We start from the raw sequence: 18,746 nt of genomic DNA on the forward strand, positions 1-18,746 counted from the left end.
TGATCACCTGAGGTCATGAGTTCGAGACCAGCCTGGCCAACATGGTGAAACCCCGTCTCTACTAAAATAAAAAATTAGCCAGGTGTGGTGGTGTGTTTCTGTAATTCCAACTACTGAGGAGGCTGAGACAGGAGAATCACTTGAACCCAGGAGGTGGAGGTTGCAGTGAGGTAAGATCGTGCCACTGCACTCCAAGCTGGGTGACAGAGCATGACTCTGTCTCAAAAAAAAAAAAAAAAAAAAAGAAGAAAAAGAAAAAGAAAAAAGGAAATAGCTGCATTGTGGATTAGAGAAGGATGAGTTCATAATAAAATACAATGCTTCCGGCTTTTCTGGCTTTCTGGTAACCTGTAGGTCTCATACCTACCATACAATAATAATTAACAGTCATCATGACAGACAGGATATGACAACAGACAAAGATAAGAAAAACACTGTAGTTTCAATCATTTAGATCACTAGTTTTTCTGTATCATGCATTTTATTGTACTCTTATTTAAGAAAATGGGTATACTTTATTTTACATATATAGCTTCATGCAATATTACTAGAAATATGTAGTTAGCAAGAAAACAACGGTCCTCAAAACTAAGAGGATTTGAGAATCAAAATTAAATTACACAAGTGGAATTGTTCAGAGAACTTATTTGAATTTTTTTAATTTAGAAAATCTCTGCTAGTATCTTAATTTTATTTATGATATTTCATTCATTTATATATTAATCATTTATTTAATAAACTTTCATTAGTTACCTACTATGTACTGGGTTCTGGAGAGATAAAGTGAATAGAATTTGGACTTCCATGTAAGAGACAGGAAAGTAAACAGATTATTCCAGAAAAGTATGGTAAGCATTAAGGTAGAGATGTGCCTGTACAAGATGCTATAGGAACACAAAAGAGGAGCACTTAGGTTGGGTGAGAAGAGGTTTCTTATGGGAGGTGATGGTTCACATGGGTGTTACAGAACAGGAGCAATGGCTGAGGGTCACTAATTTACATAGTGCATGTGGGAAATGTTGCTGGAGTGATGAATAGATCTCAGAAAGTGAAAGAATAAATGTTAGGGAGCTAAGCCAAGGCCGATTTATAAAGGTCTTATGTTCATGCTAATGAAATGGTCCTTGTGTTGAAGGGAGCGGACATCTAAGGACAACTTTAACCCAAAGAGGTGACATGATTAAAAATTCACCTTGGAAGCTTTTTCCAAGGTCACAGTGTGAAGAATAGATTGGGAAGTGGTGAGATTGCAAAGAACATAATCACTCAGGAGCAGATGTGGTGATTTGGACGAGAATAGATGTATATCTGCACTAGGGCAGGATCAATAGTGATAAAGAGGGGAAACAAGATATAGGTAGGTAGGTAGGTAGGTAGGTAGATTGATGAGACTGATGTTGATTAGGGAGATGGAAATGGCAGGATTTAGTGACTGAAGGGATATAGCAGAAGTGACTGAGATAGAGTCATGCTTTGGTATACTGAGTGGTTAACAGTGGTGTTATTTATTAGGGTAGGCAATGTCAAAGAGGAAAATTTGGAAAAGAATGATGAGAGTTTGAAGTGCTTGTGAGATAATCAAATTGAGGTAACAAACAGAGAGTTGGACATGTGTCTAGAGATCAGCAGAAAGGCCAAAACAAGAGATATACCTTGAGAATCATCAGTGTGGGTACATTAGTGGAAGCCATGGGCGAGGATAAGCACATCTAAGATATAAAGTAAGATAACCAGAAGATCAAAGACTGAGTCCTGGAGAAAGACCCTACTATTAAAGGAGTGGGTAGCTGAAGAGGGATTTGTAAAGGTGACAGAAATAGCAGAAAGGCCACAGATCCTGGAAAGAGGGATTCTAGAAACCAAAGAAAGAGATTTTTAGTAGCAGAGAATGGTCAATAAAGAAAAAAGTATCAGAATTATCAAGAACTATAAAGATAGAAGTGTAGCCACTGGATTTGGCCACATGGAAGTCAGTGGTCATTGTGGCCAGAAAATTTCAGCAGATAATCCAAAATCCAGCAGGTTCAGAAGTATTAGCTGGGACTCTTTCTATCAAGCAACAGATGCTAATGAGCGTATGCACAAAGGATGCAGGGGCACCTCCTGGCATCCAAGGGGAGCTGTACAATTAAGAAGGCAGGAGCCAAGGCAGCCTCAAGGTGAATATCCCAAAAGATAATTCATCATGTCACCAGTTGGCTGGACAACCACTTCATTTAAAGCCAGTTTGCTGAAAGCTAATTTACCAACCAATTCAATGAATTTACTTGTTTGTTTTAACAATTTGAAATGGTTCACGGAAATTTGTTTTAGATGGACAAGGTTTAACAGCTTGGGAAAACTCCTGCTGTGTTTGAATTGACCAGTTTTCTCTTTTTTCTCTACAATGGCAGTGTCACAAGAGTTGAGTTTACCCCAGATAGTCACTGTTAGAGCCGACGGGAACTCTATGGCTGGAGGAGAGGCAAACGGGGAAGTCTGTACACCCCACAGCCTGCTTGCGCTGTTGCTCCCAGAGAGTAGAGACTGAAGGAAAAAATGGTTGTGTAGAGAATGAGGGGCAGAGGCAGAGGGTAAGAGAAGAGTGTGAGGGAGAGAGGGATATGGCCTGAAAAGTATCTATATAAAGACAGGAGACAATTGTCAGTGATTTTAAGGAGAAGGAGAGTGAGAACAATGAATTTCATTGTTCCGATTGGAACTTCGACTAAATTTTATTTTCCTGTCAACAAAAACAGAGGTGCCAGATAGTATTTGAGATTACATAACCATTATGTTTTGGAATTTTAAAACCTTACCTTTGTAAGCACTACTGATATATTCAGAGATGGTTATTCACTAGAGAACTGCTCTGACTCTTACCTTTGGCAGGAATTGCTTTAATGTGCTCAATTCATTCATAAGTAATCTTTTTGATTCCATTTAATCCATAAGATTTTATACTCATTGGGTCCAACAATATAAAGTTTCATGCATGGAAAATGTGTTTTCATTTAAATAATTACTTAAAGTTTGATGTGTTTCTTCACATACTAAGTCTGATTGATCAAATAATCCTTGTGTCTTATTGTCTTTACACCTGGTCACAGTGTGCATATGTTTATGATAAGGACAATCAGTATAGACCAGCCCCGGAGCCAGGCTGACTGGGTCCAAATCTCAGCTTCACCTCTTATCAGCTGTGTAAACCCGTGGGCAAGTTACTTAACTGCCTATACCTATTTTCACAAGCTGAAATTACAACAATAATATCAACCTCATAGGGTTTGTGAGAATTAAAAGCATAAATATATATACAGCATTTAGAACAGTGCCTGGTCTATAGATAGTAAGCATCACTGAAGTGTTTGCTTATTATTACTGCTGTTTTGTTATGGGTTTTGTTGTTACAGGGTAATAAGTGGGGATGAAAAAAGCAGCGAGACATGGTTTCTGCCTCAAAGTAGCTTAACATCCATAGAAGATAGGACATTTCACACATGCACACACACACTTCTAACAGCATGTTGAGTGGGACCTTTTATATTACAACTAAGGTCCAAAATGGTATAACAACGTGCCACCAGGAGTGTTCCTCTTCTCAAGGGGTCTATCAAGAGGTGGCAGAACCAGTTTTCCACGCACCAGTCTTTCTCCCTGCCCTCTTTTCCCTCAATCTGTAGAATGAGGAACCTAAAGGGTAGCTCAGATTTCCTGAGTGTGCGCTATTTGTGTTGAAAGGTCACTCATCATTACCCTAATCATGAGAGAGAGGCATAAATTATTTCTGAAGACAAGCATTTCAGAGGATACTCATTTACAGCCATTGGTGAGAAAGCCTGGCTGGTTGATTCCTAAGCCAGAGTTGAGCATGGTAAAACAGTTTGTAGGTGAGGTTAATGTCTATCCCCAGGAATGTGGGACAAACTATAGAACCTGGTAGTCTCCACCCATTCGAAGATAGAGTTGTCTGACAGCAGAAAGGCCTTCAGAGCAGCCTATGTCAGCAGGTCTTAGAAGGACAAAAGTTCAATACACTCTTGATGAAAATCAGTGAGGCAGTCCCTTCCAGGTTCCCATAGCATGTCAGCGGACACAGAAGAGGATTCCTGTGATTCCTGTGGTCCTCTATGAAGAATCAAGCAAGACAGAGGAAGGACACAGCCAAGTGAGGAGTATTCCATCATGAGAATGAACTGAAAACATGGTCTTCTGGAAGCACTACAGGGAAACTAGCTGACCCACTCTGCAGGAGTCGGCAGCCACAGAAGTCACCAAATGGAGGATGAACAAAGCTATCACCCTCTTTCCCCAAATATAAAGCAGCTACTCAGAAAGCCATTCTCTCAGCAGAGCATGAGGTGGAACCAGAAGGAAACGAGCAGCCCAGTTATCTAGCAGGCTCTTCTTCCACGACTTCTGTCTCTCCCTAGAGCTTAGGCCTAGTCTCTCTAAGGGATTAGGCCTTGAAAAAGAAGAGGAAGTGAGGATCTAGAGACCATATTGTCCTACTGTCACCAAAGTCCAAGCAGCCAAGGCCATAGTCTACTACTGGGAGAAAAGAAGAGAACTTCAAATCTGACCTGACACTGGAGTATAATATAAGCAGGAATGACCAGAGGTTACAGTATCTTGCCAAAATGGACTAGAAGGAAATTCAACATGGAAATTTTAAAGCTGTGACTGAAGAAATAAAAATATAATGTTTTTGTCTCCATGTATTTCATGGCCATGTAGTCTTTAAACAACGTTAGAAAGGAAGAATAAAAGGACTAATGGACTGTTAATGTAGAAGCTCAAATGTGAAACTGAAATACATTATATCTTTGATTACGTAAAAGTAAATTTAGCTCTCTTATCAAACATAAGTTATTTAGAAATAAGAGTGACAAAGTATAATAATGGGATGCATAGATTGAAATTTCATACAAATAACCTAGAATCATTCACTTGTAATTAATAAAAGGCATGATGAGAAATAATATGAAAATGTCCCAGGTACTGTCAACACCATTATAATTTCTTACTATCTTGTTTGAGAAAAATGAGGTAATGGCAGAAAGGATTCAAGAGCTCTGTTGAATGTTCCATTTTTGTACAAAAACAAACAGAAAAAGAGTTACCAAAAAAAAGTTTTAAAAATTCATTGAAACCAATATTTCGAAAATGTGAATCAAGTAAAATATGTGAGATATTTATTATTTAAAAGACCATTTGTGCTAGTCAATGGTTGGTTTAAAACCACAGAACAACATTCAGATCATTCTGAAAAGCATGTATTCATTTTAGCCAGAACTACCTAGATGATTTCTTCATTTATCTTATTTGCCTTATGTGATTTTCCTCAAGACCACTAGGTATGAAATGAAGACACTGTTATCTTTTATTTAAAATGTACTATTATTTTACTCTGGTATCCCAAAATTGTACACTAGAAGACATGAAGGACACAAGCGTGAACTTACCAGAATAATGCCTGCCTCATTCACACAACCAATCAAACAACAACATATCACACCCTTCTGCAAAAAAACACACTTCTTTCTCCCATGAGACATTTCATTTTCCATTATTTATTGGTACCCCTCTGCCACATAGTAATAACATTCCTAAATTCAACAATCTTCCACTCCTTACAGAAGTTAATTTAGAACCAAATTAGCAGCTTCCAGAATTCTGAGAGCCATAGGCTCATGGTGGAGGTTTCAATTACAACTCCCTCATGACTTCAGCCCTTGCACAAGCTGATGAGAGCTCTTTTTTAAAAAAAAGTTTTTCTTGCTAGGAGAGGTTTGCCCAGACTTTCCTAATAAACCAGTTATGGAGGGAATAATGACAGCACAATTTAAAAAAAATCCAGCAGCATTCTAGTTGCATTCTACAGAAGAAAATTTCAAAAATTACAAAGGGTAAGTGGAGGGCAGGGTGTAGAATAAAGAAAACTGTAATTTTTGTTTTATAATGCCAATAGCTGTATAATGTTATGACAAATCAACTGCTAAAGAATTATTTTTGCTGAATCTAAAAATAAGTGCACTATGACATACCTCATTTAGAGGAAGAACTGTTATTATCTTAGAGAGAATACAAAATGGCTTGCCAAATTTTTACTTTAATAGGTAAAGCAAAACAAGTTAAAAACTATCACCCATCATCATATCATGACATCTTTAGTAGTATTATTTGCATGATAATCTTGCCAAAATGGACTAGAAGGAAATTCTAGAAGGCTTTGAAGCCACCAGACACTTCTGTTTCAAAGTGGTATGCACAACTGGAATGACTTTCTGAATATGCATCTTATCTGCTATCTTCCTTTGTAATCTAGTTTTCACTCTTTTGTACTTGTTAGTATCAAAGAATAAATTAGGACAGATCCTATACCATCTGTTCTCTCTGAATCCAGCCCCTACCTTCCACTTGGGTAGAAAGGAAGACAGTAGTAAGTACTGAACGGAGATTTAGAATTACTGAGAGTTTAAATCAGAACCTCTGTTCACCATTCTTGGCAATGTCAGCATCACTAAGCACCCTTCTTTAGCCCTGACATTTTTCTTTTTTTTTTTTTTTTTAAGGTGTGATTTATTTATTTATTTATTTATTTATTTATTTATTTATTTTTGTTTTTTATTTTTTTATTTTTATTTTTATTTATTTTTTTATTATTATTTTTTTATTATTTTTTATTTTTTTTTTTATTATTACTATCCCTGACATTTTTCTACATGGATTACACTGTGTAACTGACAGTAGATACTTCCTAGGGGTGTTGCCATAATTTTAATAACATTATTATTTATATTTTTAAAGGTCATAAATATAAATGCCTACCAAAAAGAAGTAACTTAAATGAGTGAGGATACCTGGGTAAAGATCCAGAGATACTTTTAAAAATTGCATTTGATATGTAAGAATATAGTTCACTGATACAAAAGAAGAAGCTAGCTTCCAGATTTTGTTGAAATAAACTGTCCTCTCCTGCTGTTTCATTTCCTCATAATTAACAAAGCCATGGATATAAAAAAGCATTTCCAATAAAGCAAGCAATGTAAGAGCACAGATGAAGGGCAGGTTGTATCAGGCATTGGCATCAGGGAGATAATAGGGAGTGGTGAGAACTGTGGTCTACTAGGGAGTGGTTACCTGTATAAATAAAGTCATCATTGCTAAGTTCCAGCTGATTCTTGCCATGTTGTAAAGTGAATCATCTGTTGCTCCTTGTTTTTGTGTGTGAAATCATCCAATCTTCATATGTTGACTAAAAAATAATTTTGTTTACAGGCAGTATGTATTCCAAATAAAACACATCTCCAGGTCAAATGTGACCCTCAGGCCTCCAGTCTGCAATACATGCTCTTTATATTCACCAACGGTTGGAAACAGGACTCTCAACATTGATTCTACATAAGAAGAGACTGAGAAATGCAGCCTTGGAAGGCGAGAGTATGTAGGTAAATGTTATTTATATGCAAAAGACAAATTATGTGCAGAATGTGGCTATGCAAACAGATTAAGGGTAGATCAGGAAAGTCAATTGAAAACTATGTCTTGATAGAACCAAAAAAACATATTTCGAGGCAGGTGCTCTAATTAGTTGTTCTGTTTCATTTAGGCAGATTTGATTCTTTACTGATGTTATTAAATCTATGGATATTTTTCTTATTAGGAAGAGAGGCACGGAGGAAAAATATATACTGATATAAAAATCCAAATTCGGGTCCAGGCACGGTGTCTCACGCCTGTAATCCCAGCACTTTGGGAGGCTGAGGTGGGCGGATCACCTGAGGTAAGGAGTTCGAGACCAGCCTGGCCAACATGGCGAAACCCCTTCTCGGTTTAGTATAAAAATATAAATTTTTAGAAATATTTTTTATATTTTTATATTTTTTATAAAAATTAGCCGGGCATGGTGGTGTGTACCCCATAGTTCCAGCTACTAGGGAAGCTGAGGCAGGAGAATCCCTGGAACCCAGAAGGAAGAGGTTCAGTGAGCCGAGATCATGCCACTGCACTCCAGCCTGGGTGACAGAGTGAGACTCTGTCTCAAAAAAAAAAAAAAAAAAAAAAAATCCAAAGTCAGACTTTACTGCTTAATTTCTAATTTCCAGTGGCAACTAGGAAAGAAGATGGTGAGAGCTGCACAATGGAAAATAAGAGGAAAGAAGCATAGGAGAAGAAATTGGAGGTAGAGAAGTTTGAAAAGATTCTCTAGTACTGTTTCTGTAAAATTAATGACTCAGGGGGAGAAAGTAACAAGGGCCAATGAACTAAGTTACAGCAGAATAGAGAACACGAAGATGAAGGGAAGGGAAGGGACAGGGAATGAGGTGAATAAGATGCTTATGAAACAGAAACCCCAGTATTTAGATCAGGAGTCAGTATTAGGAAGAACGTCTGGACTGCTAATCCTGTGAGTCAGGATAAGTAGCAGCACTGTGGATTAAGCTTAGGTCTTTAGAGCTTTCATCAAGGTATGAATTTTACCAAGAGTTTCCATTAAGCTTCATTTCTTTTAAAATTAGTAAAACAAACCTGTTGTGGGAAGTCTGGGACCCCAAACGGAGGGACTGGCTGAAGCCATGGCAGAAGAAGATTGTGAAGATTTCATGGACATTTATTAGTTCCCCAAATTCTTTTGTAATTTCTTATGCCTGTCTTTACTGCAATCTCTAAACATAAATTGTAAAGATTTCATGGACACTTATCACTTCTCCAATCAATACCCTTGTGATTTCCTATGCCTGTCTTCACTTTAATCTCTTAATCCTGTCAGCTTAGGAGGATGTATACTGCCTCAGGATCCTGTAATAATTGCATTAACTGCACAAATTGTACAGCATGTGTGTTTGAGCAATATGAAATGTGGGCACCTTGAAAAAAGAACAGGATAACAGCAATTGTTCAGGGAATAAGAGAGATAACCTTAAACTCTGACCACTGGTGAGCTGGGCAGAACAGAGCCATATTTCTCTTCTTTCAAAAGCAAATGGGAGAAACATCGCTGAATTATTTTTCTCAACATGGAACATCCCTGAGAAAGAGAATATGCGCCTGGAGGTATAGGCTTATAAACAGCCCCCCCCAGGTGCTCCTGTCTCTTATGGTCGAGACTGCAGAGGTGAAATAGACTCCAGTCTCCCATAGCGCTCCCAGGCTTATTAGGAAGAGGAAATTCCTGCCTAATAAATTTTGGTCAGACTGGTTGATCTCAAAACCCTGTCTCCTGACAAGATGTTATAAATGACAATGGTGCCTGAAACTTCATTAGCAATTTTAATTTTGCCCCAGTCCTGTGGTCCTGTGATCTCACCCTGCCTCCACTTGCCTTGTGATATTCTATTACCCTGTAAAGTACTTGATGTCTGTCACCCACACCTATTCGCACACTCCCTCCCCTTTTGAAAATCCCTAATAAAAACTTGCTGGTTTTTGTGGCTTGTGGGGCATCACGGAACCTACCGACATGTGATGTCTCCCCCGAACACCCGGCTTTAAAATTTCTCTCTTTTGTACTCTGTCCCTTTATTTCTCAAGCTGGCCGACACTTAGGGAAAATAGAAAAGAACCTACGTGAATATCGGGGCAGGTTCCCCGATACAAACTTTTACTATGTACTGAGTGTGGGTCAGAAATTAAGTCACAATTCCTGTCTCTAAAATACCTACAATGTGTTAAGGGATAGAAATATAAATAGAAACAATACGGTAATGAGGAAAAGCACAGGGTGTGTTGGAGCTCAAAGAAGGCAACGTGTACCCAAGGCTGCTATACACCATTACTCAGGCTGTGAACTGCATAAAACCAGGAGGTGTCGTTCATATGAGTTGGAAGTAAACGGCTCCTGCATCTGTGTTACGCGGCAGCTTCACACATCTAAGACCAGATTGGCACCACATAAGGCTTTTTATTATTATTTATTTTGGAGGGGGAGGGTGTTAGGGTTTTTGTTGTTTTTGTTTTTAAGACAGGGTCTCACTCTGTCACACAGGCTAGAGTGCAGTGGCGTGATCATAGCTCTCTGCAGCATCAACCTCCTGGGCTGAAGTCATCCTCCTGCCTCAGCCTCCCAAGTAGCTGGGACCACAGATGCACACCACCATACCTGGCCAGTTTTTTTGTTTTTATTTTTGCAGGACGTGTCTTGCTCTGTCGCCCAGGCTGATTTCAAACCCTGGGCTCAAGCAATCCTCCCGCTTCAGCCTCCCCTAAGTGCTGGGATTACAGGAATGAGCCACTGTGCCCAGCGCATAGAAGGCAGGTGTTTTGGAGGAAGTGGCTCCTGAACTGAGTCTTGAAACTGTAGAATTTAGCCAGATAGAGGTTGGTTGGGAGAGGGAAGATCTCATTCCTGATAGAGGAACTTGTTAAAACAAACAAAACAAACAGAATAAATGTCTTTAATAGTTTTATCATTGTCATGTTCAAGGACATTTGCAGCCAAATAGCAAGTCATAATTTTTTTGTTTTTGAGACAGGGTCTTGCTCTTTCACCCAAGCTGGAGTGCAGTGCTGTGATCTCAGCACACTCCAGCCTCAACCTCTCTGGGCTCAAGCAATCCTCCCACTTTAGCCTCTCGAGTAACTGGCACCACAAGCGAGTACCACCATGCCTGGCTAACTTTTTATTTTTTGTAGAAACAGAGTCTCACTCTGTTGCCTAGGCTTGTTTTGAACTCCTGGACTGAAGTGATCCCCCTGCCTTGACCTCATAATTTTTAACTGTGAGGTCTCAGAGGGAAACAATAAAAGCTCTCTCACTGGCACTCAGATTTACTGAACATGCTATGCGTTAGAAAAATCTCCAAACAGAATATCTAAACAGGTTCTTCCCATGGAACTGAAATGAAGTGAATCAGAGTGGAGTGGAGGAAACACAAGAATTAAAGATGGTGTAACGTATAGCAAGGACATCACACATTGAAAACTGTTCGCTTATGCCCATTTACTTTAGAGGTATCTAAAATGCAGAGGCATCTTGTAACTGGTGAAGTAAGTGGGCATAAACACACAGAAAACCATAATAAACTAGAAAAGCCACATAGATCTGGAAAGGAAAGAAACACTAGAAGGGTTTTTTCCCACAACTCATAAAGTCTTCCTCCTCTGAACACCTTTTCACTGAACAACTCAATTGTCAATGATGCCTTATGTACCTAATTTTTTGTTTTCTTTACAACTAGACTATATGTGCCTTGTCACATAACTGCATTTTCCACAATGCCTTGACTATCCCATGCCATGAATGTATGTTAATGATAAGCATAAACAGAAAATAGGAAACTATATCACCAATTGCTTTACATTATATAATTATATATATTAACAATATATGATTGTAACACCACTACCTGCAACTGCTACCATGTATGCAGTATTTATGACTGCTATCAGTATGAATTAGTTACATATCACAGAATCTATTAATACACTGGAAAGGATTTGTGAGTAAAGTAGAGAGGAACAAAGAAAGCAAGTGGTAAATTGTAAACATATGTGGAAAGGCAGTATATTTACCATATATGTCTTATATTTGGTGGCGATGAAAGAAACAAGTTACGCTTTGCCACTATGTTTTGTTCCTTAAAATATAGGTGCAAGTGCTGCCACTACATTTGGTAGAACCAAGATCTATGGCTGTGTATTGAGGGAGGTGCATGAATTCCTCATGGAAAATTTCACAAGGGGTCATGGGGAGAGGTAGATTGCTAACTGCCAGAAAAGCAGCTTTGGAGAGAGGCACATTAGAAACGCCCACATTTCTTTTCTACATTCATCTAAGGTAAGGATGATATTGAAATGGCTGCAGGACACCTTGAATCAACTTTTAATTTGTTTTTAGATTTATTACCTAGGAACACCAATTTATTTCTTGAAACAACTGTTCTTACTTGTGAGCTTTTACTTGTTAAAGGACAATGAATTTGGCAAATAATCGACAATCTGGGCATTGCTTTGCATTATAAATTGCTAAAAATAAAGTCATTCCACATTCACTGCACTCAAAGATAAACCACTCATCTGCAATACAGTGTACTTTCTAAGAAGAAAAATACTCCAGAATCTGCAGTGATAGCCGACTCTGCATATGATTATCTTAGCACCAAGCCAAAGGCATATGTCTGTACGAGTATTTATATATTTCCTTCAAAAATTAAAATAAAGTTAGAAATAAAAAATCATTAGGGGGAGGCATGTCGAATGGGAAAGGTTTCAGACAAAGATAACTCATTAGATGAGCTAAAATGGAAGACATCGCAGGAAAATTAAGTTGAAATGCCCAGCAGGCCTTTGAAAATGGAGTTATGGCGGGGTACAGTGGTTCAGGCCTGTAATCCAAGCAATTTGGGAGGCCAACGCCAGTGGATCACCTGAGATCAGGAGTTCAAGACCAGCCTGGCCAACATGGCAAAACCCAGTCTCTACTAAAAATACAAAAATTAGCCAGGTGTAGTGGTAGGTGCCTGTAATCCCAGCTACTTGGGAGGCTGAAGCAGGAGAATCAGTTGAATCTGGAGGTGGAGGTTGCAGTGAGCTAAGATCATGTCACTGTACTCTAGCCTGGGCAACAGAGTTGAGACTCCATCTCCAAAAAAAAAAGAAAATGAAGTTACAGCTTTGGAGAGAGTTCTGTGTGAAGGCATATTTTGAGGCATCATGAAAATATAGTTGAGTGTTGAAACTGGGGAATGCTAAGCAAAGAACCAGGAGTGTAAACCATGAAAAACTTTTAAAAACATTCATATTTAAAATCTGAGGGTGAAAAAGAAGCCATCGGGTATCTGGAGAAGAATCAGAAGTGTGAATTCAGTATGGTTCGAAGCCAGGGTCAAAGGACATAAGGAGATCCTGATGATGAAAATGCAGCAATCAGATGAGGGCCACACATTAAGTATGAGAGTTCTGAGAGAGGACAGCGCACTTGACCAAAAGCTATTTGGTTGCTTTGTCTTCAGATAGTGAGAGCTAATCTTTAAAAGTAGAAGAGGAGGAGCTGGAGTTACTGGAAATGAATGAGAGACTGAGGGCCTTCCCACAGTTATAAGGACATGGTAGGCAGAGAGAAATTTCATGGAGGCATGACGTGTAGGAAAAAACAAGCTGGGAGGAAGGAAACGACAGATGGAGGTGAACATGACCAGAGATGCAGAGCAGTTCCTGCAAGACTGCCATGATCTTTCCCACACATTTGGAAGTGAGAGAAAGTAGGATTGAGAGACAGAGAAGAAAAATCAAATCATGTGTGGCCTCTGTGAGAGGGAGCTTATGGTTGCATGAAAGAGAAGTAAATGGCTTGTGGAGCTGCATTAATGGACAGACTGAATTTGTGTGAATCTGTAATAGGCTACGATAGGCCTAATTCTACCCTTTCCTCCCTTCAAGAGGAACAGAAGGTGAGAGAACAAGAGCTGAGACAGGTCCAAGGATTATCAGTGCATATGGTTGACTCTGAGGTGGGCAAACAAGGGAACTGTGAGTGGGAAAAATAAATCTCTAACATCATAAAGATTAGAGGCCAAAGACAGGGATGTGTGTGATAGCCAAAAGGCACAGAGTGATGTCAATGTGAAGGCAGGCTAGAGTGATGACTGGTCTTAGTGGTGGCAGGCAGTGTGGATAGTGTCAGAGGGAAAGATCCCCAAAGCAAAGTAACATCCATTGATCAGAGCTAGTTTCCAGGCTACTGGTGAGTGGCTGTGCCATCACAGAAGGCAGAAAGTCAGGTGACAGACGGGTCGCATAGGTTTTCAACATGGAGATCAAAATCATTAAATGAGAAAGGACATGGATAGATTAGGCATTAAAAAATAGAAGCCAGCAGCAGAAATGTTAGCAGCTATGCAGTGCAGTAATTTTATGTCATGCAATGGTAAATATTTCTCAAATAGAGTCATGTACTACATTATGGCATTTTGGTCAACAACAGACCATGTATAGGATGGTCCCATAAGATTATAACGGAGCTGAAAATTTTCTATCACTTAGTGATGTCATAGCCATCTTAATGTCATTGTGCAATGCATTACTCACATGTTTGTGGTGATCTTGGTGTAAACAGACCTACTATGCTGCCAGCTGTATAAAAGGATAGACCCTATGATGACATACGGTACATAATACTTGATAAGAAATGATGATGTTACTAGTGTATGCATATACTGTACTTTTAATCGTTATTTTAGAGGTATTCCTTCTACTTATTTTAAAAATGTTAACTGTAAACAGCCTCAGGCAGGTCCTTCAGGAGGTACCCAGAAGAAGGCACTGTTATCATAGGAGATGACAGCTCCATGCATGTTATTGCCCCTGAAGACCTTCCAGTGGGACAAGATGTGGAGGTAAAAGACAGTGATATTGATGATCCTGACCCTGTGCAGGCCTAGGCTAATGTGTGTGCCTGTGTCTTAGTTTTTAATTAAAACATTTAAGAAGTAAAATAACATACTTTTTAATTGAAAAGGCCTAAGAATAAGGATATAAGGAAAGAAAGTATTTTTGTACAGCTACGCAAACTGTTAGTATTTTAAGCTAAGGTTTATTACAAAAGAGTCAGGAAGTCAAACAATTTAAAAGTTTATAATGTAAAGAAATTAAAGCTGACATTAATTTATCATTGAAAAAATAAAATTTTATAAATTTAGTATAGCCTAAGTATAAAGTGTTTATGAGGTCTAAAGTAGTGTATAGTAATGTCCTAGGCCTTCACATTCACTCACCACTCACCCACCGACTCACCCAGAGCAACTTCCAGTCCTGCGAGCTCCATTCATGGTGCATGCCCTATACAGGTATATCATTTTTAATCTTGGATACAGGAGTTTTACTGTGTATTTTCCATGTTTAAATACATTTAGATACACCAATATTTAACCGTTGTGTTACAGTTGCCTACAGTACCCAGTACTGTAACATGCTATACAGTTTTGTAGTCTAGGAAGAATGGGATAGACCAAGGATCCCCAACCCCTGGGCCATGGACGAGTACCAGTTTGTGGCCTGTTAGAACTGGGACACACAGCACAAGGTAAGTGGCATGCAAGAGAGCGAAGCTTCATCTGTATTTACAGCCACCTCCCATCACTTGCATTACCACCTGAGCTCCACCTCCTGTCACATTAGCATTGGCATTAAATTCTCACAGGAGCATGAACCCTGCTGTGAACTGTGCATGCGAGGGATCTAGATTGTGTACTCCTTATGAGAATCTAATGCCTTGTGATCGGTTTTTGTCTCCCAAAACCCCCAGATGGGACCTTCTAGTTGCAGGAAAACAAGCTCAGGGCTCCTACTGATTCTACATTATGATGAGTTGTATAATTATTTCAATATATATTACAATGTAATGATAATATAAAGTGCACAATAAATGTAATGCTCTTGAATCATCCCAAAACCATCCCTGCCCCCCTACCCCTGGTCTATGGAAAAATTGTCTCCCACTAAACCCATCCCTGGTACCAAAAAGGTTGGGGACCTCTGGGTTACACAGCATAGCCTAGGCTATACCATCCAGGTTTGGGTAAGTATACTCTACAATGTTTGCACAATGACAAAATTGCCCAAGGATGCATGCATTTCTCAGAATGTATTCTCATCGTTAAATGACCTACGACTGTACATTAAAGACCTAAGTTTTCACACATGTAAACAGAATCTTGAGTCATTCATGTATTAGGAAAACCTATCTTTTCACATACTTAAATATTCAACTTAAAGAAGGCCCAACTAATATTCTAAATATTCTAAAATATACTCAACCCAGGCCACAACCTTCACTGGGTTTGTAGATTTTTAGCTCTTGTTTTCCCTACCTTTAGGACTAGCACACTAAGGCTTGGTTTTTAGTCTCTTGGAGCGTCACATAGGGTTATCTTACATTGACTTTCATGAGGTTTTCATTTTCTGTTTACCTTACTTTCCTTAAACTATAGGGAGCTGTATTTTTGTTTTGTATTGAACAGAAAGGATTGCTCAAAGCCAAAAAAAAAAAAAAAAGCTTCTAACAAAACTTCCTTTGCTAGCAGATGTTTTATACTGAACCAAGATACGATCTTAAACTGAGTACAAGCAAAAGCATTATTCAAGCTTAGTAGGTTTTAGGATTTTTTTTCCTTCTAGATAAGATTTTTATCATACAGTACACTGTAGATAAAATATAATAAACCTATAAACCGTCACAATGGCAAGTGTAGCAATGTGTACAAGGTATCACTGTTTTTTTATCAACAAGACCACACTTCAAAGAGGAATTCTTATGCATATGTCATAGTCTTTCACAACTTAAAATACAAGAGAAATAGAGCATATTACAGAAAGCGGGTGCATAAACTCAATATGTTTTGTTTTATTATAAACATAAATATTTTCCATAGTATAGTATAAAAGTATCTGAATAGAGTAAGTAATACAGTCAAGAAATTTGAAATGAAAGGGGGAGTAAAAACAAAATATAATTCTCTCACTTTTGTAAGATCTCAGGCAATTTAACTTTTTGTTCAAACTCATCATTGTTTATTATTATCTAATAAGATTCCTGTCAGGATTTTAGACTAGTCCACATCAAAGATGTTTAAGAGTTAAAAAATCTGACATGTGACATTTGCAAATAATTACTTTAAAAATATTTTTTCTACTGTGGAAACCTCTAGAACCATATTTCTTTAGCATATTATATTTATGGCACTAGTAGTTAGAAGATATTTAAAGAAGTAATCACTAAAACGCAGGAAAATTCTGAGAAGATGAATAATATACCTGAGAGAAAATAGCAATTTTGTGAGATTCATTCCATTCTGAGAGTATATTCTAACTAAACGTGACGCACAAATGTTACAGGATCCTTATCTATTTCAAAGTCATGAGCTCGCTGTTAAAAATGCCTGCCTCCACTCAGACAGGCAGGGATGTTTCTCTTACTTCAGCGGAGTTTCTTCTATTAAGTAATTAATCTATTTTATTCCCACAGTGACTCTCCAGCCACCATAGAACTTAGATGCTACAAATTAACTTTTAACTCAAAATATTTTTAACATTTTAAAGAACAGTTTAAACTTTTATTAAATAGAAATTTCATGCATTACAATGATGAACTTGATTTATAGGGAATATTCAGAAGATATTGAACCTTGATTTTCCCTGGCTCTTTCCTATATTCTAGGTTTCTCCTGTTTTCAAGGAATTAACAGCCCAGTTTGGGAGAAAGAAGCAACACAACTGAAACAGAATAATTTGATGTGAAATGCAGTGTGCCAACTAAAAATGCATTACTGCTTCCAATATGGGAGACTGGGCTGGACCAGTCACACTGGACCTAAAAGAATTGCTGGCACCAGTCGATTATTAAAACGGGCAGGGAAAAGAAAGGGGCCTCACCACTCACGATTGTAAAAGTGAACAGTCAACAAGCAGTCATCCACTTGTCTGGCAAAACAGCAAGGTGTACACCACTTCCAAGGTCTCAGGCAGGGAGTGTCTCCTTATTCTCTCATTCTGGTCTGTGTTTGACTTTGCTTTGCTTTATTAGAAACCAAATTAAAATGCATACTATGTAAAATAAAATGGAAGAGTCACTATTGGCTGGTGAATTTGGACAGTTTAGATAATTCTGAACAAATTAGATTTTGAGAAATGAAATTTACTCTGTAGAAACTGAAACTGTAACACAGAATGGTAAGGAAATCACAGACTCCATGTTTTTTCTGAAGGGGCAGGACGCTAACTTAGCCAGAGACTTCTGTGATTTGTAGGGGGCCAGCAGTGCTTTACTTGTCATACCAATCAAACATAACCTACATATATTCCCATCAGGAAATTTTCCATTCGGGGAATATTTTTCCACAAACATTCTGTTTAAACAAAATTTCAAAATCATAGTGAGACTTTCCTAATGAAATCTGCCTCCAAAAATAAGCAGTAAATGTTAGTGGTTCACATGACTGCAGGACCCACCATATGGCATTCACGTGCCTGAGATGCTGGTGTCCATCACTGGAGGAAACTGCTTAGTTGAAACTACCATGTTGGAAACCATCTACCAATAGAACATGATTGGTTTTACATTACACAATAAAAGGGGAGAACCTTATCATACATCCTTCTTTTTTTTTTTTTTTTTTTTTGAGACAGAGTTTCACTCTCATTACCTAGGCAGGAATGGAATAGCACAATCTCAGCTCACTGCAACCTCCACATCCCGGGTTCAAGTGATTCTCCTGTCTCAGCCTCCTGAGTAGCTGGGATTACAGATGTGCATCAGCACACCCAGCTAATTTTTGTATTTTTAATAGAGATGGGGTTTCACCATGTTGGTCAGGCTGGTCTCAAACTCCTGACCTCAGGTGATCCACCCACCTTGGCCTCCCAAAGGGCTGTGATTACAGGCATGAGCCACTTCACCCAGCCTATCATACATCTTTCTTAGAAAGGGCTATCATCCCCAATGTATTTCAAATTCAATTCACTTGAAAGGGAATTTAATCTAGATATAATTCCCTAAGAATCCATTTTTAGGAGGAAGCCTGTACTTTGTAAGTACTCTATTTGAAAGCCATGTGACTTGTAATACCTGACATGGGAACCCAAAACAAACACCCCAAGGTTGAACGAATTTCTCAAAGTGTGTCTTATTGGATAGAAAGGAAGGAGATAGCATGGATACACAGTTCCCACTGAAGTCATGAGTAGCTGTGAGGATGTGCAGATCCACCTAGGCCACATTCTCTCCCTGTTGCCAAAGAAATTCTTAATACTTTTTACTAAAAAGAAGAAAG

The 18,746-nt window shown here is 38.5% G+C and overlaps 1 protein-coding gene across 4 annotated transcripts in view, besides 1 other annotated feature; it reads right to left on the reverse strand.

Annotated features, from left to right (window-relative positions):
- The window catches only part of TRPM3 (transient receptor potential cation channel subfamily M member 3), a 917,912-nt gene that overhangs the window by 632,917 nt on the left and 266,249 nt on the right, over nucleotides 1-18,746 (reverse strand). The window lies entirely within an intron of this gene.
- Nucleotides 9,049-9,594: an enhancer, noted in NCBI's record as "OCT4-NANOG hESC enhancer chr9:73785941-73786486 (GRCh37/hg19 assembly coordinates)". NCBI's record gives its function as "activates a minimal SCP1, AML or CMV promoter by ChIP-STARR-seq in primed H9 embryonic stem cells {active_cell/tissue: H9 hESC(primed)}" and the evidence as "EXISTENCE:reporter gene assay evidence [ECO:0000049][PMID:30033119]".

The sequence above is a fragment of the Homo sapiens genome, chromosome 9, assembly GCF_000001405.40.
Source record: "Homo sapiens chromosome 9, GRCh38.p14 Primary Assembly".
Classification (NCBI taxonomy): domain Eukaryota; kingdom Metazoa; phylum Chordata; class Mammalia; order Primates; family Hominidae; genus Homo; species Homo sapiens.